Source organism: Homo sapiens, chromosome 12, assembly GCF_000001405.40.
Source record: "Homo sapiens chromosome 12, GRCh38.p14 Primary Assembly".
NCBI classification, from domain to species: Eukaryota; Metazoa; Chordata; class Mammalia; order Primates; family Hominidae; genus Homo; species Homo sapiens.
In genome coordinates this window covers 39,797,227-39,822,973 of record NC_000012.12, presented here as the reverse complement: position 1 = coordinate 39,822,973, position 25,747 = coordinate 39,797,227, and the positions used below count along the sequence as shown (strand labels likewise).

The 25,747-nt window shown below is 35.8% G+C and overlaps 2 protein-coding genes and 1 non-coding gene across 8 annotated transcripts in view; 2 read left to right on the top strand and 1 right to left on the bottom strand.

The window, feature by feature from the left end:
* REDIC1 (regulator of DNA class I crossover intermediates 1) overlaps positions 1–25,747 on the bottom strand; it is a 282,118-nt gene that overhangs the window by 85,327 nt on the left and 171,044 nt on the right. The window contains exon 18 of the transcript NR_135051.2: positions 20,592–20,714. The gene's annotated coding sequence lies outside the window, so the exon portion shown is untranslated. The remainder of the gene's footprint in view (positions 1–20,591; positions 20,715–25,747) is intronic.
* The window catches only part of SLC2A13 (solute carrier family 2 member 13), a 351,057-nt gene that overhangs the window by 283,108 nt on the left and 42,202 nt on the right, over positions 1–25,747 (top strand). The window lies entirely within an intron of this gene.
* On the top strand, positions 3,091–3,224 carry LOC124900327 (small nucleolar RNA SNORA22). Its single transcript, XR_007063630.1, has one exon. It is a non-coding gene; the product is annotated as a small nucleolar RNA SNORA22 (small nucleolar RNA).

Below are 25,747 nucleotides of genomic sequence, written 5' to 3'. Positions count from 1 at the left end.
GTTGCAAAGTCTACAAATCAAAAGACCAAAACACTTCTGAGTAATTTATCTCCCTCGTCCATATTAATTTATCGAATTTCTTACTTGACATTTAATTGTAATAATAAATAAACACTTGTTAACAGTTTTATCCAAGTAGCGATATTCATAATATATTTAACTACCTTTCATTTTCAGTCAAACTTAATATTTCTAGTCAACCCATGTTCCTTTTACATTTTTAACATTTTTCTTCATATTTCCTTTGAAAAGTAGACTGTGAGTTATTTCTCACTAAAGAAGATTAAAGAAGACTAAGATTTTTATTATAAGGATAAAAGCCAAAGCTTGAATTCCATGTGCATGGTGAGTGTAAGATAATGGTGGTGAACCTTGGTTCATCAAACATTGGGGCAAGTAAGCATCAGAAGGTGTACAGCAGAGATGAAGTCTGGGGAGCTTGGAATTTATTAAAAAGGGGGCTGAGAAAGTAATGAGAACAAGAGAAAGGAAAATGCGTGGCTGGTGCCAATACAGTAAATATGAGTTTAGATCAGATGGTTAAAGAGCCTTATTTAGATATTTTAATTTGTTTTTTATAGATACATTTTCATAGGCGTGGGAATCATATTGCCAGTGATTTTAGGTGAATGGCTTTATGTGATACCTGGACATGGATAGGATATTGTGTCACATAGTGAGTTAAATATTTTCAATCTGTGAAGAAGAAAATCAGTTGGCTAGCATGATTTTAACACTTGGGCAGGAAACGTTATCTTGGAAATCATCATTCTCAGTAAACTATCGCAAGAAGAAAAAACCAAACACCGCATATTCTCACTCATAGGTGGGAATTGAACAATGAGAACACATGGACATAGGAAGGGGAACATCACACTCTGGGGACTGTTGTGGGGTGGGGGGAGGGGGGAGGGATAGCATTGGGAGATATACCTAATGCTAGATGACGAGTTAGTGTGTGCAGCGCACCAGCATGTCACATGTATACATATGTAACTAACCTGCACATTGTGCACATGTACCCTAAAACTTAAAGTATAATAATAAAAAAATTAATAATATTCTTTTCATTCCATTTTTATTCAACTATCTTCTATTCTTGGCACGTGTGATCGATTGTATTATTGTTCAAAGTATCTGCTACCACTCCCAAGGGAAGGATTGTATTTCCCTGGCCCATTCAGTCTTATCCACATGAGCTGTTCTGGCCAAGGAAATTAGAGTGGAACCAATCCCTGTCATTTCTGAGCCAAAGCTTTAAGGCATGGAGTTTTAAACAAGGATTTGCCACGTCCTCTTTTCCCTCTTCGGTATAGTTCACCATGTCCTAAAATAGAAGGTGTTCCATTAGATTTGGTCACAGGGTGAAGAAAATGTGGAACAGAAGCATAACTGACCTGAGGTAGACCTGTGGTGTGAGCAACGCATTAAGCTTGGGTTTTGTAAATCCCACTGCAATTCGCTCTCTTTTGTTACTCTGACATAATCTATTCTCTTCTGACTGATATAGCAAGATACCCTGGATTCTCCTGTGGAAGGGCACAAAAAAAAATTTTTTTTTTTTGAGACGGAGTCTTGCTCTGTTACCCAGGCTGGAGTGTAGTGGCACAATCTCGGCTCACTGCAAGCTCCGCCTCCCGGGTTCACGCCATTCTCCTGCCTCAGCCTCCCGAGTAGCTGGGACTACAGGCGCCCGCCAACACGCCCGGCTAATTTTTGTATTTAGTAGAGATGGGGTTTCACCGTGTTAGCCAGGATGGTCTCGATCTCCTGACCTCATGATCCGCCCGCCTTGGTCTCCGAAAGTGCTGGGATTACAGGCGTGAGCCACTGCGAAAAATTTTTTTTGAGTTATAAAAGGAACTCTAAAGAAAACCATTGAACAAATAATAGTACAGGGCAGTGAAAGAAAGGGTAAAAAATTATGAAAGGAATTGCCAAATGTCATGAGTTTGGGGAGCAGTGCAGTAGGAAGTAGAAGTTTGGGGAACACTGCAGTAGGAAGTAGAGAGCTGTTAAGGTTTTTAAGTAGGGGCTAATGTGAGTGGCTTTAGGTTCAGGAGATAAAATTCTGATATAAGAAGGAAGAAGGAATTGTAAAGAATTTTATGAAGAACAAACAAAGGGCAAGGCATTTGGAAATATGGTAATATAAGGGATATAGAAGAATGGTGCTTGCATTTTTACATGTTGCTTTATATATATATATATATATATATATATATATATATATATATATATATATATATATATATAAATTTAAAAATTTAAGCCGAAGATTATACATGCTGCTAGGTCACAGAAAGAAGAGCAGCATTAGATATCCAAATAATCTCAGGAGGTTTTTTGCTGGACAGCATAAATGAAATAAAATTTGACCATTCAAATCAAAGAACCGCTGCCTCTGTACACATCATTTGGTATCCAGGTCCTTCCTACTCTCTTGGTTTCAGTGCTAGTTTTATAACATAAACAAAATAGTTTTCCACTACATGCGATCTGGGTTTACAACTTGTGTAGTTTGTACAATAGCAATCCATGTTTTAGCATTGGAATATGCATAGACATTCATGAACCAATGCCAATCACAATTCCTACAGTTTGAAAACAGTGCCAAAATGGCAACCTGAAAACTGTGATAACACAAAACTCTGTGCTCATAATTTCTAAGAAAAATTCATTATAGTGCCCTTCACTCTGTCTTCACTTGCCCTCTGTTAGGATGAATGCTGTCTTATTTTATCTAGGAAGTTTATTCTTAAATAGTTCCAAGGATTAACCAACTTTATTTTCATTTCAGAGGCACATGTTTCCTGGAACCCTCCAAAAATTACATTTTTTTTCTTTTTGTTGTCATTTATTTGGTAAATGAGTTATAGGGGAAAGATTGGATTTAGAGCTGTTCTGCATGGACAAACCCATAAATATTAATATTATATTTAATTATTGGTAGGTTGGATTATATAACAGAATTTAAACTCTGTTCACATTGGTATGGCATTTATACCTGCAAAGATAAAGAGTTTTTTCTGTGGTCATTTTATAGGATTGAAATTTGACATTGTGCTACATGCTATTAAAAATGTATTATTGGGCAGTGAACACCCAAGTGTGCTTTATAGTTCCTTTGGCTTTGACTTTGTGCTAGAGCAATGTCTGTTATTTTTCTCTGCATTGAAAGGAGCATTTATCCTTTTAAATGTATTCAGAAAGCCAGTACATTTAATTGAAAGCATATTAAAAAGACTCAGACATTACTCCCTAAGATTTATAATCTAAGAGGTAGATTGTAACATTTACACACGCATACTTCAAAATTATTTTAAAGAAATGAATGTTCCTTTTACAAATAGAGAAAAAAAAGTATTTGCAGTGTATACTGCTTAGTGTCAAGGACATTTGAGAGAAAAGGTAAATGAAAAATTTATTGTAGAATGTGTAAATTTGGAGTGAGTTTTAGAAATCAGCCCGGGCTTTTAGGAACATCAAATAATGGAAGGCTTGATAAATAAAAGTTTGTAGTAAACTATGGGACAGAGCACTTCAGATACAAGATATGGACTGTAAATCTGTAAATATTTAAAGATTATGTATTGCCACCTTAATATATTTTAAAATAATGTCAAAGGTCCTATAACTGTGACTTAGTTTAACTTTCTATGACATAAATGAGAAAAAAAATTCTCCAAACGATAAAAATATTTGTAAACCATGAATTTATTTTGTGACATTTTTAGGCTCATAAACATATGTCATATATTCCTTATTGTTCTTGATGAAAATTTCATTTAAGGCTTAAAAATGAGACTGCAAGTGTGATACATGGATATCCATTTACTAAACAATTTCAACCATCATAACTTCTGAAGCCTCAGAGATAGGAACCTGTTTGCTTATATAACTATACTGTTTTCCCTTCTGTGGGGTGCAAGCGGTTGTCTGAAAACTATGATTGACAGTGGAAAAACATCTTCGTTCGTTTAACATTGAGTTTTTGGGAAATACTTGATTATGCAGACCTATGTTGTTTTTTAATTAATTGGCTTAGGAAACAGGCAATCGGAATTCTGCTTGGGACAATCAGGGAAGGAAAGGGCCAGATCAGAGTTAAGTCAATATTTTATATTTCAATTTTTATACTTATAACAATATTTTATATGTAGAAACTTTTCTACATCTGTGCCTTCAAACTGTAGTTGTTATTGGTATATGAAACATCTACATTTATTCTGCCTACTTAATTGTTCAACAAACTTTAAGAACTTTCTGTATAACCTAAGATAGTATACCAAACCTTGGTATTTATAAAAACTTGGGGGACATCAGCTAGGACAGTTAGACACACTTGAAACAGAATTTCAAAGGTGATTACAAAGCAGAGATACATGCTGACCTTGGGCTATGTCACATAAGCTACTTATGTAATTAGAACTTATAAACTTACGTAATTAGCTACTTATAAAGTTAGAGTTAAACAAAGAAGGTAATTACTCAGAGCATCATCTTCCCTGCTAGCTCAGATACTATTGTAAGCTCTTCACTGATTGATAAGAGATCCTATCTGATATCTTGGTAGCAGTGGACATTTTTGCAAGTAATTCTCAATTATTATTACTTTGCTTCTTTAAATAGAAATTAAGAAGGTACCGATCAGTATTTAATGTCTTCTCCCCCTCCCCCCAACTCATTTTTTTTTTCCTGTGACTTCACAGAAAAGTTTCAAAAATCAACTCCTCAGTTTTAGATGTACATGACTGGGGGAATCAGATGATTTTAGGAACTCTGTGGGTATTTAATAGCTTTTTCAGTTAGGCTTAACTGTGAGAAGGGATCACACACCTGGGGATGTCACTTGAGTCAGAGGAGTGGCCCAAGGGGGCTCTCTGGCAGTGTAAGAATGCAGGAGGTAAATTAGGAAACATCTGTAGAAGTTAAAGAGCTGGAAAGTGTTACCATAAAGAGATACTACTTGAAAGGACAAAGCAGAGGAGAAACTGACAAAATAGAATGAAGAAAAACAGGGCAGACCTAGACAAGTTCAAGGAATGTGTATCCTGGAAGCTAGTTCAGGAAACAAGAACACATAGCCTCCTCTGTAGTGAGTATTCTCATTTGTGGATCTCTCTTTGCTGGTCAAGGAACCGTCTTTGAAGTAAGCAGAATTGCCCCGGGTATACTGACAAAGTCCTGATAAGGTTTATAGCTTTGAGTTTTTCTCATAGATTTAGTGTTTGGCATCTGCATACGTTGGCTATAGATATTTTAAAATATATATAAAGTATGTAAAAACTAAGATGACTACTAACTGAAATAGTAGTTACATTTTATGATCTACTGTGTACAGCTAACTTTTTCGTGAATATAGATGAAGCATTCTGTATCTTTGTTTCACTAACCCCCTTAGCTGCCATCAGTTGCCTTTCTCAGCTGGCCTCTATAAAAGTTTGGTGTTTTATGATGCAAAAGTTTCATTTCAGGCAAGAAAATCTCTCTGCACTAAATAAGGAGTTGATACAATGTAAGTTACTAAGAGCCTAAATCTGTGGAGCAGATGACCCACAACTAGAAGCCAGCACACCCCATCCTAAATGGAAACAGTAATGGAACTGATCATTCTGTGGATTTGCCTGTGACTTGTAACAGCAGTGTAACCTTGTCTAATGACCTCCTGCATCCCACCCTAGCACACCACATGGACCACCCTAAAATGAGCAACCCGGAATTGGTTATGAGCTACTTTGAGTCTTTCAAAAGAGACTTTCTAATGAATTTGTTGAGTACTCCTGTGAGAGATGTTCAAAGAAATTAGTACACTTTTTCCCAATACTATTCACTCTTATCTTCCAACTTAAAAAGTTGAATGAGATGTTCTCTGTGTTTTTGCTGTTATGAAAAGAGAAGGATACAGTCACTCACCACCTACCTATTTTTTTTTTCCCTCAAGGCATTTGTGGTTCTTGGTATCCTGAAAGTGGGAATGACCCAACCCACAATGGGATAACACATTTGCCCAAGATAAAAGGAAATGATAAAGCATACCCAGTGTATAGGATGTAAAAAAGCTAAAAATATCTGCTTTTCTAGGCATTTTTATTAGTCTTTCAAATTCTTAAAATCTTTCAAATGTTTAGAATTCTTCTGAATTCAGTAAAGCATTGCTTTTCACCAGCTTATCACCAAGAACTAAGGATGAAGGCAAATGGTGAGAGGTTCTTGCAGCATAACCAAAGGAGACCCATGAAAGGACAGGCTTATTTGTTTGTTTTTCATCCTAGTGTTTTATTTTTAAAAATTAAGTGAATTTTCCTTTATACCCTAAAATACAGCCATGTCCAGCTTACTAATATAATTCTTGTATTACTTACCCTTGATTTTTCTTTCTTTTTTTTTATTATACTTTAAGTAAGTTCTAGGGTACATGTGCACAACGTGCAGGTTTGTTACATATGTATACATGTGCCATGTTGGTGTGCTGCACCCATTAACTCGTCATTTACATTAGGTATATCTCCTAATGCTATCCCTCCCCCCTCCCCCCACCCCACAACAGGCCCCGGGGTGTGATGTTCCCCTTCCTGTGTCCAAGTGTTCTCATTGTTCAATTCCCACCTATGAGTGAGAACAGGCTACTTATCCTTGATTTTTCTAGGCAACCCAACCTACGGCCTTTCATCTCATCTCATCCTTCACCCCATCAGTGAGAAAAGGAAATTTTTGTTTGTAGAAGAAATGTGCTGTTTTATTCTGTAGCACATCAGTACCTGTGCTAATTTGAGAATCATAACTAGCGTAGATCCAACCCAGAAACAAACCCCAAGTTCACAAAACTTAAAAAGGAATAGGCAAATTCTAGTTGAAACTGTTTCAGACCTCAGCTCACTATCAGCCCAGAACATATTATGTGCCTCATCGATTTAAATGTTACCGTTAGGATTTGGTGGACACTGTAAGTCTAGAGAATAGCTAATTGAATAAGACTTGAACATCTAATTGAATTTCTTGAACAAAATGTATACTCAGAACAGAAAATATTTCAGAAATCTATGACTTCATAATGTCACTGGCTCTGAAACATTAACACACTACTTTTCCAGTTTTATTTGGCTATATTTATTTGACAATTGGATCTCTTTTATAGAATGTTGTACTGTGCTATAACTTAACAACTAAAACAACATTTATTTGTTTTTTCCAGACTGGGAATGTCAGAATTGTGTCATTGTAGCTAGCATATATCAAGATACTTTTCAGCTATTGCTTCAAATGCTCTATTTTTCCCTACATGCCCTTTAGTAGAACTGCTTTCCAGTGCTTTTTCTATAACCAATAATTATTGCATTATGGTTATTTTTATCCCCGTTCGCCTCTTACCGTCCCCCAAACTAGAAACTTCTCAAGGGCAAAGTTGGGATAATGTTGTTCTCTCTGCCAGACGTTATGCCTGGACACATAGAAATCTCTCAGTGCATGTGAATGTTAGTGAAAGGATAGTAATAGGTGAAAAGAAAGAATGCTCCAGCCTACGAGTCCTATAGCTGTTTTGACAAAGAACCTGTTCGATTTATTCTTCCAAATGATTTTATATCATGTGGAGAAGGCCAGTCTGTTTGAAAAACTTGTAGTAGAAATGACAATAGTTAACAATAAAGGCCAGACCATCACCATATCCAGTACAGCTCACAGTATTCTCTGCTTTATTCTGTTTTCTCTTTTTCTATTTTTGATTCATATTTGGGCATATGGGATTCAGGAAGTTTCTTTCAGAAAGTCTAAAATCAATGGGAAGCTTAGCTCTGGTATAATGTAGAGAATACTTGCTGGAATCCAACGACTTTGATTTGTGTCTGGACTCAGTAACTGACCAGAAGATGGCCTTGGGTCATTTATTTTACTTCTCTAATCCTTAGTTTGCTGATCTTTAAAACAGAAGAAAGTAATAACACTAGATCTTGCTTACCATCTAAGATCACTGAGAAAGTCAAATGAAAAAAAAAAAGTGTAAGAAGAATTCATAAACTTGATTTAATTTTTTAAAGACCAACTTAAAAATCTCAGCTCCACAATCTATCATATCTTTCTGCCTTATCTAAGAGGATAAAGCGATTGATAATGCATATTGTGAAATATGCATAATTGTGATAATGCATATTGTGACATATGCATAATTGTGATAATGCATATTGTGACATATGCATAATTGGCAAATGTGAAATTTAAAATTTCTTTCTTACTAGTGTTGAGCTAGGCCTTGAAGGATAGGCAGGGTTTGTATATGCAGGGATAGCAGACGTAATTGTATGAGATAACCAAATTTAGTAACTGACAGCAATTTATGTTTTTCCTCTCTTTAAAATGTGCTTTTCCATTCTTAAGTATGTATTTTACCATAAAAGAGGAGTTCCTTTTTTTCTACCAAAGCATTCTTCAGTTTGTAAGAACTTTTATCTATTAATTTTTGTTAAATTGTATACAATTATAACAGTGTTTAGCATTATCAGAATTTTGATTTTAGTGAGCCAGTGTGTTACTTGATACAATAAAGATCAGCTAAAGCCTTCTTGTGTTGTTCTTAAAGGAATAGATGTTTTCTCTTTACTCTCTATTTGGAAAAAGTTTAGGCTAGTTTTTAAAAACAGTACAAAGAGGAAATTATAAGTACATAATTCATTAAGTGTCTTTCATAAGCTTATTCCTCCTAAGCTATTACACTTGCTGTCTACATCTGTAGCTCATTTCCTGGGGAGGTAAAGCAATGACATTAAAACTCCAGCAGTACAATCTACATCAGAATGGTTGATTAACGTTTTGAAGTATTATCCCCAGACCTCACATTTTAAATTAATTTAATTCTTAATTATCACAAAGAAAGAAAAGAGTATGGGCAAAAGTGAAGAGAATATTCAGAGCAGTTTTCCTCGTCTTGAAAGATATGATTATAGTTTTACAGAATTTGGCAATACAATATAGATGAAGTAATATACGAAATCACTCATACTGGAAATTGTCCAAGATTGAAACTTTCGAAATGTGGAGTTATCCAAGATGTGACTGTGTAGGCTTCAGACAGTTTCCAGGAATGACATTCTTCAGCGTAAAATGGAAACTCCAATTTTAAAATGCCTGTGTAGGGGTTCTGTTCAGTTAATATTCCCAATTACATCTTTTTAATTGCTATTTTAAATTTTAAATCAAATGGAACTCACATTGAGATTGTAGATGGTAGTGGCTGCAGCCGTGTTTCAAGTCTCCCTGAAGCTTCTTCATCCCCCACTACTCCAATAAAAACAGACAGTTGGCAAGGAATGGGCCTTATTTGAATCTTGATTCAAATGAACTGAAAAAAGTCACTTAAAGACAACCAGGAAAGTGTGAACAGTGATTGGCTGTTTGATGTTCTTAAGAAATTATTGTTAATTTTTCAGGTGCAGTAATCATATTGTTATATATTTTTTAAGTCCTTGCAGAGATACATACTGAAATAGTAACAGATGAAATATGGTATCTGAAATTTGCTTCAGAGTAACCCAGGAGAGGTGGATTAAGTGACAATTTAGATGAAATGTCATTGGCCATGTGTTTACAGTTGTTGAAAGTTTGTTATGGGTACATCCGGTTAATTATACTATACTCTCTACTTTTGAATATATTTGAAAATATTTGTAATAAAATAAAATTTTGATGTATGTCAAAATAAATGCTGACCTAGATCAAAGACAAAAGTATTTTTAAGATAGCTAAGAAACAAACAGAATAGATAAAATGGAATGCAAAAAATATCTAATTAATCCAATAAAAGAAGTTTTAAAGGGAGGGCAAAAGTAATACTATAGGCTGGGCACAGTGGGTCACGCCTGTAATCCCAGCACATTGGGAGGCCGAGGTAGGTGGATCACTTGAGGCCAGGAGTTTGAGACCAGCGTGGCCAACATGGTGAAACCCCATCTCTACTAAAAAAAAAAAAAAAAAAAAAAAAAAAATTAGCTGGGCATGATGTCAGGCGCCTGTAATCCCTGCTACTTGGGAGGCTGAGGCAGGAGAATCACTTGAACCCAGGAGGCAGAGGTTGCAGGGAGATCACACCATTACACTCCAGCCTGGGTGACAGAGTGAGACTCTATCTCAAAAAAAAAAAAAAAAAGGTAATACTACAAACTAAATGTTTGTCCCCCCACCCCCTAAAGTCATATGTTGAAATTAGAAACCGCCAGGTGCAATGACTCACGCCCGTAATCCCAGCAGTTTGGGAGGCTGAGGCAGGTGGATCACTTGAGGCCAGGATTCGAGACCAGCATGGCCAACATGGTGAAACCTCATCTCTACTAAAAATATACAAATCAGCCGGGCGTAGCCGTGGGCGCCTGTAGTCCTAGCTACTCAGGAGGCTGAGGCAGGAGAATCGCTTGAATCTCAGAGGCGGAGGTTGCAGTGAGCTGAGATTGCACCACTGCACTCCAGCCTGAGCAACAGAGCAAGCATCTATCTCACAAAAAGAGAGAAGGGGAGAAAGAAAGGAGAAAGAAAGAAAGAGAAGAAAGAAAAGGAAGGAAGGCAGGAAGGAAGGAAGGAAGGAAGAAAGAGAGAGAGAAAGAAAGAAAAGAAAAGAAAAGAAAAGAAAAGAAAAGAAAAGAAAAGAAAAAAGAAATTAGTCCCAATGTGAGGATATTTAGAGGTGGGGCCTTTGGGAGGTGATTAGGTCATGAGGGTGGAGTCATCATAAATGGGATAAGTGCCTTTATAAAGGGGCCCCAGATAGATTCCCTCTTCCATTCTACCATGTGAGGGCACAGATGAAAGATGGCTATGAACCAGGGAGCAGACCCTCACCAGACACCAAATCTTCTTGTGCCTAGATCTTGGACTTCCCAGCCTCCAAAACCCTGAGAAATAAATTTCTTTGTGTAAGAGCCATCCAGTCTGTGGTATTCTGTTATAGCAGCTTAAACAGACTAAGACAAGTAACAAAGTTGTTTCTTTTATGAGATAACCATAAAAGAAACAAATTAGAGATTTAAACCAACTCTATTGGTAAACTATGTTAAAATAAATTGTTTAGAAACTCCAATAAAAGACAGAAACTCCAGTAAAAGACAGAGTTGTCCAATTAGACATGAAAACAAATGCAACTGTCTGCTGTCTAGAAAAATGGGGATGGAAACAGACATACTGTACTAACACTAATCATATAAAGCTAGAGTGCTTTTGTTAATATTTGACAAAGACTCCAGATTAAGGAATATTATCAGAGATTAAGAAGGATGGCTTATAATAAAGTGGCCAATTCATCAAGACATACAATTCTTAAATGTATATTCCTCTAATAATAGAGCTTCTTAGAAATCAGTAAAAAAAATTTTCACAAAAATTACTAAATATTTGAATATTAAACAATACATTTCTAAATAACCCATGCTGTAAAAAAGGACATCACAAGGTAATTAGAAAATGTTTTGAAGTCAATGAAAATGAAATTATAACATATCAAGAACGTCAGGGGACAGCTAAAGCAATACTTAACAGCAAACTTATACTTTAAAATAAGTATATTAGAAAATTTTGAAAGGTTTAAAATCAATTACCTAAGCTTACAATTATGAAGCTAAAAAATGAAGAGCAAGTAAAACCCAAAGTAATTAGAAGGAAAGATATAATGGTAGTAGGAAACAATAAAATAGAAAATGTAAAAGCAATAGATGAAGTAAATGAAATCAAAAGGTAATTTCTTGAAGAGATCAATAAAAAGCAGATTAAGTCATAGCTGGACTCGTTTAGGGAGAAAAGGAGACCCAACTTTCTATTATTATAATTAAAAGAGAGCACTTCTAATAAATGGAGAAAATTCCTGGTGACACATATTTCCAAAAGAAATAGGAAAACTAAATCATCTATTTAAAAAATCAAATTTGTATTAAAAATCTCCCCACAAAGAAAACTGCATTGGTGAATTAAACCAGATATTTAAAGAAGAAATAATGCCAATCCTATATAAACTCTTTCAGAAAAGGGCAGAGTGGGGGAAATTTCCCAACTCATTTTATAAGGTTGGTTTTATCTTCATTACCAAATCTATCCAGAAACTGCAAGAAAGAAAAACTATAGATGAACATCGCAGTATCTCCCTTGTATACAGACAGAAAAATTCTCAAATTGAATCCAGCAATATAAAGGAATTCATGGTTGATTTAACATCTGTATTCAATGGATGTAATTCATTATATTAAGAGAAGAAAAGAGAAAAATCATATGATCATCTTAATACATACAGAAAATAAATTGATTAAATTCCTAATCCATTCATGATAAAAACTCTCAGAAGGCTGGTAATGGAAGGAAACTTCCTCGACCTGATACATAACATCTCTTAAAAACCTACAGCTTACATTATACTTAATAGCAAAATATTATTTTCCCTCTAAAATTGAAAACTAGGTGAGAATGTCTACTCTTAACACTACTACATGACATTTTCCTGGAGATCCTAGCCAGTGTAATAAGGCAAGAAAAGGCATACAGTTTGGAAAGGAATATATACTCTATTTTCAGATGGCATTATTTTTATAAAATGCTATGAGAATAAATAAATGAATGTAACAAAGTCTCAAAAAAGGTCATTGTAGAAAAATATATTTTATTTCTATTACTAACAATTGGCAAATGAAATATTTTAAAGGCTAATTATATCATCAAAAGATGAAATTCTTAAAGATAAATTTAGCAAGAAATAACAGGATCACTACACTGAACACTATAAAATATTACCGAGTGAAATTAAAGAAGATCTAACTAAGTAGATCACACTCGTGGATAAGAAGACTTAATATGGTTAAGATGTCGGTTCTTCACTTTTACATTGTTGGTGGGACTGTAAACTAGTCCAACCATTGTGGAAGTCAGTGTGGCGATTCCTCAGGGATCTAGAACTAGAAATACCATTTGCCCCAGCCATCCCATTACTGGGTATATACCCAAAGGATTATAAATCATGCTGCTATAAGACACATTCACACATATGTTTATTGCGGCACTATTCACAATAGCAAAGACTTGAAACCAACCCAAATGTCCAACAATAATAGACTGGATTAAGAAAATGTGGCATATATACACCATGGAATACTATGCAGCCATAAAAAAGGATGAGTTCATGTCCTTTGTAGGGACATGGATGAAGCTGGAAACCATCATTCTCAGCAAACTATCGCAAGGACAAAAAAACCAAACACCGCATGTTCTCACTCATAGGTGGGAACTGAACAATGAGAACACATGGACACAGGAAGGGGAACATCACACACCAGAGACTGTTGTGGGGTGGGGGGATGGGGAAAGGATAGCATTAGGAGATATACCTGATGCTAAATGACGAGTTAATGGGTGCAGCACACCAACAGGGCACATGTGTACATATGTAACAAACCTGCACGTTGTGCACATGTACCCTAAAACTTAAAGTATAATAATAATTTTTAAAAAAGATGTCAGTTCCTTTTAAGTTGATCTCTAGATCAACTCAAGTAATTCTAATCATAATCCCTATAAACAGTTCTATAAAAAATGACAAGCTCGTTCTGAAATTTATATAGAAATGCAAAAGAACTGGAATGGCCAAAACATTCCTGAAAAAGAAAGACATGCCCTATCTGATTTCAAGACTTACTATAAAGTTACAGTAATCCAGACAATGTGATGTTGGTAAAATAGACATAAACATCAAGGGAACAGAATAAAGTCCAGAAATAGATCCATATATGCATGGCCAATTGATTTTCAATAAAAAAACCAAATTAATCCAATGGGGAAAGAATAGTCTTTTCAACAAATGGTCCTAATACAGTTGGCTATCTACATTGCGGGTGAAGGTGGAGGGAATGGACCTCAACTCTTACACCCTAAACACAAAAAAGCTCAATATACATCATAGACCTAATAGTAAAAGCTAAAATCATAAAACATTTATAAGGAAACATAGGAGGAAATCTTTGCGACATCAGGGTAAGCAAGTAGATAGGACACAAAAAGCACACACAACAAAAGAAAAAATTGATATATTGGAGTTCATTAAAATTAAAATTGTCTACTCTTTGAAAGACATTGTTAAGAGAATACAAAGCCCAAGCCACAGACCGGAAGTATTATTTACAATAAGTATATCTAACAAAGGAATTATGAATAAAGAATTCTTACAACTTAAAATAAATAAAGCAACCTTTCAAAAGACGCCAAAAGATTTGAACAGACAAGTCACAAAAGACTATAAAAAGATGGCAAATAAGCACATAGATATAATGTTCAACATTATTAATCATTAAAGAAATGCAAAAAAATTATAGTGACATGCTACAGCACACCAACTAGAATAGCTAAAATGAAAAAGTCAAAATATCAAGTGTTGGTGAGGTTGTGAAGCATCATGTTAATGGGAATGTAAATTGGTACAAACACTTCAGAAATCAGTTTGGAGGTTTCTTCTGAAGTTAATCACATCTTTTCCATACAACCCAGTAATTCAATTATGACACATTTAGTCAAATGAAATAAAATGTGTCCAACAAATGTTTCTACACAGTCGTTTATAGCAGCCTTATTCATAATGGACAAAATTGGAAATTACGTAGATGTTACTTCAACAGGTGAGTGGATAAACAAATTATGATACACCCATATAATTAAATACTACCCAGATAGATGGAAGGAATTACTGATATGTCCAGTAACCTGGTACAATTTCAGAAACATTGTGTTGGGCAAAAAAGCCAGATACAAAACAATATATACTGTACAAGTATTTATATAAAATTCTAGAAGAGCAAACCCAATCTCTATTGACCAGAAATAGCTCAGTTATTGACTGGAGTTGGGCATGAAGGAAATTTTTGGTGTTATGGAAATGTTTACTCTCTTGTCTGTGGTAGTGGTTACATGGATTTATACATTGTCAAAACTCATTGACTTACACGTAAAATTGGTACACTTTATATTTTGTATATTATACATGAATAGATGATTAAAGTACTGGATTTCTTGACTTCCAAGAATTATAGCATACAAAATTATATCTTCCTAGCTATTTTCAAAGGGCAGACTAATTCTACTTTAAGCAAACAGCATTTGATGACACTTTTCATCACAGACAAGATTCTCCTGGTACGATTATTAAAAGTTGGCTTAGGCAACTTTTATAGCTAGACTCACCTAGGGGGAGAAGACCCAACTCTCCATTATTATAATTATTATAATTGAAAGGGTGCACTTAGAAGAAATGGACAAAATTCCTGATAACACAAATTTCCAAAACACAAAAAGAAATAGAAAAACTAAATCATGTATCCATTTTAATCACCAGATTTATTTGCTTGTAGCTTACCTGCAGGTTTAACAGTACCTTTGAAAGCAAATGAGTAGCCTAGCTGATATTTATCAAGTCTTATAGCCACCCTTTACTTGTTTTTCAATTAGTGTTTTTATTTTGAAATAACTATATATTTACATGCAGTTTTAAGAAATAATGTAGAGATCCCATGTACTCTTTACCCAGTTCCCCTGAATAACAACTTGCATAATTATGGTATAGTTTCACCCAGGAGATTGATATTGTTTCAATCCACTGATTGTGTTCAGACTTTCCGTTTTACTTATGCATGTGTGTGTATTTTATACAGTGTTATCATATGTAGGCTTGTGTGTCCACCAGTACAGTCAAGATATAGTTCTGTTACCACAGGGATCCCTAGTGGTGGTCTTCTGTAAGCACACTCCACTCCCCACATCCTACGTGGCCCTGTCCTTAACTCCTCATGACCACTAGGTTGGCGCAAAAGTTATCGAGGTTTTTGCAATTACTTTCAGTGGCGAAAACTGTAATTACTTTTCCACCAACCTAATGTGTTGCAATTACTTTCAGTGGCAAAAACTATAATTACTTTTGCACCAACCTAATGTGTTTTTTTCATTTCTGGAACGTTGTCATCTCAAGAACGTTTAATAAATAGGATCGTACAGACTGTAATCTTTGGGGACTGGCTTTTTTCTCAGCATAATTCTCTGGAGATTCATGTTGTATGTGTCAGTTGATCACACCTTCTTATTGCTGAGTAGTATTGTATAGTATGAATATATCAGTTTTCTTAACAATTAACCCTCTTAAAGACATGGGTTGTTTCCAATTTTAACTCCTACAAATTTATTTTCGACTGTCTTGATTTCATTATTCCATAACAAAACATAGCAACCCATGTTTCCCACAGTATAATTTAAGCATTTTGAAGAATTCTCAAATAATAAGATATTAACTTTCTGTATACTGTCTAAAATATCTTAAGATCTTTTCCTGAGTCTCTTTAAGGAAGTTTGCTTGAAGAAGTTGTATTCCAAGCACAGTGGAACTTCCTTTATGGAGCACCTTGGATTAGATTTTATCACAACTGAGAACATGACTTTTTGTGGACTTCTTGTGATTTTCAGATAATGATAAATGCAATCAGATAGAAGCCTGTGTGACTTCTAATTGGATCCCAGGGAAAATATATATCCTGTAGCATTTAGGAGAAAAAGTGCCTTGTTCAGGGGACAGAATGCCATTTTCTTCTGTGAGTGAAAAAGGGTGATTGATTCATTAGGCACCTAGGGTCAGTTAGATATTCCTGTTAAGAATATCTTACAATTTGTTGGGCAAAGGTTTTGGTTCTGACATATCCTTCATTCCCTTCAAAATGCATTTAGAATTTTTGTTCTGATCTTTCAGCATTAGAGGTTCCAGGCAAGATAAAGACAGTCAACTCTGAAATATAAACTTGTCATCGATTTTTTTCTTAATTTTTAGTTTGTGAAATCGTGTTCTCGGAAGCTCTTGTGAAACTTGCATATATTTGTATACAAATTGATTTTGTGATTTTAAATAATCAGTTCTGTTGCAGCTACAATTGCTGTCACTGTAAGCTTTTTCTGGTAGCAATCAATATCAGAAAGAAGTTTGCTAAATTGCAGGGAATCTGCTATTGCTAAGGAAAGTGTTTAATGAATAGACCAGCCATTAATTGTCTCTTGCTGTTAGATTCAATTACCTGTGAAACTAAGCAAATCCTGCCCACAGCTTTCTGATCTCTTCCTGTGTTTCCAAAATGTCCCTTCAGCAAACATAGTAGAGAAAAAAACGGGCAACTCCCTTTCTAGATTATTTATTTAAAACCTCAACTCTGACTTGCCCACTCAGATCTGGTTTCATTGATACCTAAGTTACTGAGGAAGTGCCCCTCCTCCAACTCCCTTCACTTACCTTTGCCATTTTAATTAGCAGATTATTTAAGCGGAATGGATTTTTGTTTTTAAGGAGCGCTGTCAGCAGTATTTACAACTTCTCCAAACCTTTTAAAAAATACTGTAGCATGTTTTAAATATAATAGATCAGTTTTTAAATACACTGTTTCAGGCCTATGGGAATAAAGTCTCTGGGGAAAAAAAAAAAACCAACAGAGGCATTAACCTAAGAGACAGAGTATAATGGAGGCTGGAAAGATTTGTCATTTATCCTGTCTGTGCTCCTTCACGATGTACCCAGATTCCCACTTCCTTACACCACTTCTACCTCTTACACCTGCTCCAGCCACCCCAGGATTATTACAGATGCCTCCTAACTGGTGTCCCAGCATCAGCCCCAACCCCTGCCTCTCCCTGCAAAGCAGAGCAGCCACACTGACCCTTTTCAAATGAGGCCAGATCACACCACTTTCTGTTCAACACTCTGCCGTGGCTTCTCACATCATTTAGAATAAAAACCACGCCCTGCAGAGTCCTACACATTCTGGCCACGTCCAACACACAACTCTCTGGCCTGGCCTGGCCTGCCCTTGCTGTCTTCCTGGCTCCCTCCATTGTCGTCACTGATGACCCTCACTGTTCTTGCCTGCCCAGCAGGCTTCTCTCTCCAGCAGGCTTCTCCCTCCAGCAGGCTTCTCTCTCCAGCAGGCTTCTCTCCCCAGCAGTCTTCTCCCTCAGACTGTGGCACTTTCCAAGCAAGTGCCAAAGTCTTCAGGTATCTGCAGAGTGTTTTCTTTCTCTGCCCAGCATAGTGCCTTCCCTGAGAGCCCTGTCAAAACAGTAGAACTACCCACCCTGATGTCCTAGCCCTACTTACCCTGCTTCTCTTTAGGGTATATAATTCTCCATCTATATTTAACATGTAAATATAAATGTATCTGTATGCTAATCCATTTATTTTCTAGAATGTAAGCTCCATTCTAGACATTTCTCTACATTTCTAGAATGTCTGTCCTCTGAGAGGACAGACGTTCTGTTTAGTGTTGCTACACAGCAGACTAGAACAGTGTGTGGGAGCCTAGAAGTCACTTAGCAAATTCTTATTGAATAAATAAATTAACCAATCTGTGTCCCCTTTCCTTTATGCCATATTAATATAAAAGTTACAGAATAAGCTACAAGCTAAGAAATCAGGGAATACCAAAGCTATTTAATAAGCATGAGTACAGTAAATAAATTGGTTTTGACAGGTTATTATTATTAATCTAGCAGTTTCTGGTAATGAATGTTAAACTCTTACCATTATGATTGTGAAGTTGTCAGTTTCTCTTTGAAATTAATCAGTGTTGCTTCACATAGCTCGAAGTATATTATCAGGTGTTTATAAGATTAGAACTATTTCTCTTATGGAATGAACATTTTATTATAATGACATTTATCCTTGATAACTACTTTTGCCTTCAAATTTGTTGTATTTTTACTACTTTTCTTTTTGTTGATATTTTCCTGTTACACCTCTTTTTCTTCACAAATATTTCAACTGTCTGTATTTGTATATGTGGGTTTGTCTCCTAAATAAGATATTTAGTGTTTTTTTCCCCACCACTCTAACCAACTGCCTTTTCATCAAGTCACGTGTGTTTACATTTACACACATGCACACCAGTTTTTTTCATTATTTCTTGTCAAATTTTTTTTAATGAATTCAGACATTTCTTCTTCCTGTACTGTATCTTTTCTTTGGATGCTTTGAGCCCTGTTGTTTTTTTAATTCTGTAGCTTCATACTGATGTATCTTGATAGAGGTGTAATTTTATTTATCTTGGGAAGGGATCGTTGTCCTTCCTAAATATGAAGATTCTTGTTTTCCATCAGTTATGAAAAATTCTCAGCCATTATATTTTCAGATATTACTTACCATATTATCTCTCTTCTGTCCTTTTGGAATTCCGGTGAGATGCATGCTGGCCATCACATTCTGCTTTCCCTGTCTCATAAGCTCTTTCACACATTTCATTTCTTAGTGCCATATTCTGAGGAATTTATTCAGATCATTCATCCAGTTCACTGCTTTTCTTCACATATATCCAGTTTGCTGGTTAGCATATCTGTTGAAGGATTCTTTTTTCTGACTCTATATATATATGTGTGTGTATGTGTGTGTATGTATATATGTATTTTTTCAAGAAGTTACATTTTATATCTTTTTAAATCTGAAGGTTTTTACAGTAGCTATTTTTTAATTTTTTACATATCTTCTTTAAATAATTATACTCATGCTTATTTTTGCTCCTAAGTGATAGTTTTATGGTCTAAAGTTTAATGTGCCTGTGGCTCTGCTGTTTATTGTTGTTATCCACTGCTGTCATCTACTGGCTACTGATCACGGTAGATTGTTTCCTCATGCATTTTGTATAATTGTCATATAAGTCTATTTTCATCACGGTTTTATCTGTGGCAATCCTGTGCAGCCTCTGTTGAGAGCTTGTCCTTCTAGAAAGTTTTTTTTTTTTTTTTTTGCATTTGCTTCTTTTAGATGCCACAGGGCTATCACCAACCAATAGGCTGGTCCCTAGAATAAGGGAACATTTACAATGGCTGCCTTATACCCTGTACTTCAGGTGGGAGCCCATAGAATGGCTGTACTTTACTTCTCCTTTCTGAAAATTAATACAAATAAATTTAGAAATTTCTGCCTTCATTGTATCCCAAGGGGCCCATGGAAGATACCTCTAGTGAGGCCTCTTTTCCAATGTCATTATCTTGGATGATCCCACACTGAGTTGCCCTTCCCAGAGGGCTTTATTGTCCTATGACATATTTTATTTTGATGTTAATTCCCCTACTTGGAGGTTCCTAGATTATTCATTGAAATCTCAATCTGATATAATATTTTTGGCCTGTGGTTATAAATTCTCAGGATGGAGATATAGTTACATATCCATATCTACATCTATATATGGTTACATATTCATATCTATCTTTATCTCTGTATCTTTATATCTATATATATGGACATGTAACTATGTGTGTATACATAGACATATATAAATATAAATATGTAACTATATATACATATAGTTCTAGACAGATAAATAGATAACGGTCTCAATCTAAGTTCACACAGAAACATACAAGTTTTCTTGTGTCCCACTTTCAGTGGGTGGGTATCTCTGCTTGTACACCTTTTAATCAAGTACACTATGCTTATACTTCCAGTCTCCTACAAGACCTTGTATGAAGTGGCCCTTGCCTATTTCTCGGCATCATTTCCCGCCACTGTATTCCTCTTACTTCTGTGCATCAACCATCTTAGTCTTTTTTCTGTTTCTCAGACATACCAACGTTACGTTGCACTTGCTGTTTACTCATAGAATGTCCTTCCACCATCTTCACATACGTCTGGCTTCTTATTGTCATTCAGATCACATATCCCTGAATGACAGGCTACATAATATGAGGACCTGCATGCAAAATGAAAATACAGGGCCCCTTGTTAAAAATGATTAATAATTTCAAGACAGTACAAGCAGAGCACTAAATCAAACAGAGACTTCTAAGCATGAGGCCATATGCAGTCGCAAAGATTACACACCCATGAAACCAGCGGGGCCTTCCTGACCAGCCCATCAACTGCCCAACCCCACTTAGTGCTTCTCTATTATATCACTTTTGTAGTTTTTTCATCATGACAATTGTCACTATGTGAAATTCTTTGCTTACTTATTCATTGGCTATCCCCTGGTACTAGATTCTAAGCTCTGTGGGAATGAGGATGGCTGTGTTGTTTGCTGCTGCAGCACCTAGAATGGTGCCTGGTTCAATAATTAGTTTGTGTAGTGAGTGAGTAATGTCTGCTTTCCTAATTAGTCTCCAAGTAGCCCAAGAATCTTCTTCAACATAAGATGCTGGGTCTCCACTTCCAGTTGATCTGATTTTGCACAAACCAGTGAATTTTGGATTCTAAGCCCGCCCTTTCCTTTTATAGATGAGGAAACTGAATCCCAGACAGTTTAAATAATTTGCTAAAATTCAGAAAACCAGTTAAGTGGCAGAGCTAGGAAAAGAAAAATAAGTCTGCTGACTTCTAATTCTACCCTCTTTTTCCTATGACTAGTACATTGGGTGAATTTTCCTGCTGTAATAATCTTTGTATTCAGCTACTTGACTTTTAAAATAATCTTAAATGGAATATTTCCCAAATTTGAATCTTAATTCTGTGCCAAGAGAAATTAGACTATGTCATGAGGTCAGCCCTCTCAAGCAGATTGTCATTTTCTCTGGGAAAACTCTCTTTTGTTTATGGCTGTTTGCTTTATGTTTTGTTTATGCCTTTGCTACCTACAGCAACTTCAGTTCTTTCTTTTTTTTTTTTTTTTTTTTTAATTTCCTCATTCATTTATTCAAAAATATTTATCAAGTGAAACACTATTATAAAAATATAAAAACTTTGTTTTAATAAATGATTTTTTTTTTAATTATACTCTAAGTTTTAGGGTACATGTGCACATTGTGCAGGTTAGTTACATATGTATACATGTGCCATGCTGGTGTGCTGCACCCACTAATGTGTCATCTAGCATTAGGTATATCTCCCAATGCTATCCCTCCCCCCTCCCCTGACCCCACCACAGTCCCCAGAGTGTGATATTCCCCCTCCTGTGTCCATGTGATCTCATTGTTCAATTCCCACCTATGAGTGAGAATATGCGGTGTTTGGTTTTTTGTTCTTGCGATAGTTTACTGAGAATGATGGTTTCCAATTTCATCCATGTCCCTACAAAGGATATGAACTCATCATTTTTTATGGCTGCATAGTATTCCATGGTGTATATGTGCCACATTTTCTTAATCCAGTCTATCATTGTTGGACATTTGGGTTGGTTCCAAGTCTTTGCTATTGTGAATAGTGCCGCAATAAACATACGTGTGCATGTGTCTTTATAGCAGCATGATTTATAGTCCTTTGGGTATATACCCAGTAATGGGATGGCTGGGTCAAATGGTATTTCTAGTTCTAGATCCCTGAGGAATCGCCACACTGACTTCCACAATGGTTGAACTAGTTTACAGTCCCACCAACAGTGTAAAAGTGTTCCTATTTCTCCACATCCTCTCCAGCACCTGTTGTTTCCTGACTTTTTAATGATTGCCATTCTAACTGGTGTGAGATGATATCTCATAGTGGTTTTGATTTGCATTTCTCTGATGGCCAGTGATGATGAGCATTTCTTCATGTGTTTTTTGGCTGCATAAATGTCTTCTTTTGAGAAGTGTCTGTTCATGTCCTTCGCCCACTTTTTGATGGGGTTGTTTGTTTTTTTCTTGTAAATTTGTTTGAGTTCATTGTAGATTCTGGATATTAGCCCTTTGTCAGATGAGTAGGTTGCGAATTCAATCCCCCCTTGGAAATACCTTGCCAATTCTTACTCAGAATAAGTTGCATTCCTATTTATATTATTCTCAGAAGAGATTCTAGTCACAAATTATTTTTTCTGTTTACTGTTTTCATTCAAAGCACGTCAGCACCAATTACCTTTCTGCAAAAATGCCAAGGATTTAAAGTTATATTACCCATTTGGGAAGCTCAATGGCAGTTTTAGAGTTGCCCTGATTTTTTATTGTACCTAGAAGATTGGGATGGGTCCAGCTATCACAATAAACATTACATATATGTTTACTTGGCAAAAATCTGCTTTTCATTGAACTGCAAAAAAAGGTAGACATCAATCTTCATTTTGTAATTTGTACATATCAGCTGCTCCACTGCACATGGGGAACACTTCTTACTCTAAGGATTCTGACAGGTGACACATTATTCTGTTGTAAATTTGATTCTCTCTGCACCAATCATCTGAAAGTTCTACCAAGTTTCTTGCTAAGGCATGTGAACTCATGATCCAGCCAGCTCTCCTCAGTTGCCAGGCTTTAGTAATGTGAATGTGTTATCCTGCTTTGTCTCAAAACACGTTCTTGTATAATAGGCCTAACTTTAAAAAGCATTCAAGTTGTTCCATTTCACTGACCTGCATTCTCTACCATTTGAATTGCTATTAATTGTACATACTGTTTTGTGGTCTTGATTTTTCCAATCTTTTTGACCAGGTTTTTAGCTAACCCCTGGTTTGCATTTGGTTTTTGCTTTTGTTTTTTTGGGCTATCTTCTTGTTTACTTTATTTGATTTACTCTACTCTGCCAGTTCTAAGGGAAATGAAGCTTATTTTTACTATAATTTTAGAGGTTATTCTGGGTGGATTTCTGTAAAAGTGCGCCGTGTAGAGGATCCTAATGGTTGAGATTAAAGAACAGAACAGACTGAGCTTAGTGGCTCATGCCTGTAATTCCAGCACTTTGGAAGGTCGAGGTAGGCAGATCACTTGAGGCCAGGAGTTTGAGACCAGCCTGGCCAACACAGCGAAACCCCATTGCTACTAAAAGCACAGGAAAAAAAAAAAAAAAAAAAAAAAAGGCTAAGCATAGTGGCACATGCCTGTAGTCCCAGCTACTCGAGAGTCCAAGGTAGAAGGTAGGAGAATCACTTGAACCTGGGAGGCGGAGGTTGCAGTGAGCTGAGATTGCACCACTGCACTCTAGCAGCCTGGGAGACAGAGTGAGACTCTGAGTCTAAAAAAAAAAAAAAAGGAAAAAAAAAAAAAACCAGAACAGTAATTCTTCAGGTGGCTGTATTATCTGAAGTGGGGATAATGGGGAGAAGATGGTAGGATTGTTCAAAACAAGCAACACCTTTGTTTTGTTACTCTAATTTATTTTGGAGACAATTTACAAATTATAATTTTAATGTATAATTATAAAGCTGTTGTATTATTTCATAAAATTATTTTTATATTATATAAAATACATAATAGTGCATTAACATATGTTTATACATCATTATAATTAATATATAATTGTGTTTATACAAAGTATTTTGAGCTTCATTTAGTACTAAAGGAATGTAAAAGATTTTTATGTTTCCAAAAGTGTCATGAGAAATGTCCCAGAAGGTTAAGAAAGACTGGAATGGATGTGATCTGTCTCACGAGTCTTTCAGCACTAGCCCGGGCTGTTCCAGGGAGGCTGTGCTTGCCCTGCCACGAGGCCAAACACAGGAGCTGGAGGGCCTGCTCAGGACAGAAGCACTTGCTTTACAGTTAGAAACAGTTGAAGCGCTCTTATGCGTAATAAGTATGTTGTAAATTTTTGATGAATTAATAGTTACTTGGGGATCTAGATTTTAGTTTACTGTTCATTAAGGTATCTCCTTTTGCTTTCAGTTACTTATTCAAGTTAATTGATCTTCATTTAATATTCCAAAGCCCCTATATTACTCATCTATTGCTATGCCACAAGTGACTCTAAAACTTAACAACTTCAAACAATGAACATTTATGTCTCACTCAGTTTCTCTGGGTCACAAATCCAGGAGAAGCTGAGCTGAGGCTCTGTGGTGGTATCTCTCATGAGATTGCAGTCCTCTGAAGGCTTAAGGGGAGCTGAAGGATCCACTTCCAAGGTGGCTTCCTCGTGTGCCTGGCAGGTTAATGCTGGTTGTTGTCCGACAGGCCTTAATTTCTCTCTTTATGTGGAGTTTTCCATTGGGCAGCTTGGCTGTCCTCATAACATGGTAGCTAGCTTCCTCCAAAGTGAATGATCCAAGAAAGAGACTGACAGACACCATCATATCTTTGATCTTAGCTTCTGAAGTCACACTTCATCATTCCATAATATCAAATTGGTTACACAAGTCAACCCTATTCTGTGGGAGCTACACAAGGGCATGAACACTAGGAAGTAAGATCACTGGGGGATATTCTGGAGGCTGACTCCCACAGCCCCTAATGAAGATCTCATTAGAAGTATTCTTTAATTAAAACAATAACTTTTATGTTTACATGGATAGAATATATAGGTTGAATTACGACCGGTTTTCAGTATGCATCCGTGTATGTGTGTGTGTGTGTGTGTGTGTGTGTGTGTGTGTGTGTGTGTGTGTGTTTACCATAACTGGCTTATAACATGTATCCATTAGCTTTTCATTTTATTTGAAAGCACACTTGCATCTTGGAATATGATGACATTATCTGCTTCATATTTATCATTCTCACAGAATAAAAGTTACCAATGAGAGACAACAAAAGGGACGAAGTTGTCCTCATAATCTATGTGAAATTGACTAAAATATTTAGCTACTTTACAAGAGATGGGTTATTGGATTAGCTCCTCATTTTGTGTCAAATCACCACTTATATATTTTCCCATATTGCTGTTATTTATGAAAATAGAAAACCATATTCTGCTAGAGAACCAACATATAAATGAGAAAAATACTGTGCTGAAATAGGAAAATAGGATTATAATTATAGCTCAGGAAATGCAAGTCAGAAATCCAAAATAAGTTCAGTGTATGCTGAAAATGTTAGCATTTTTCAATGTACTTAAAGATAATTACATTGCAAACATAATACAGTTTTTACCATTGTTTCCCAGCTGAAAGGT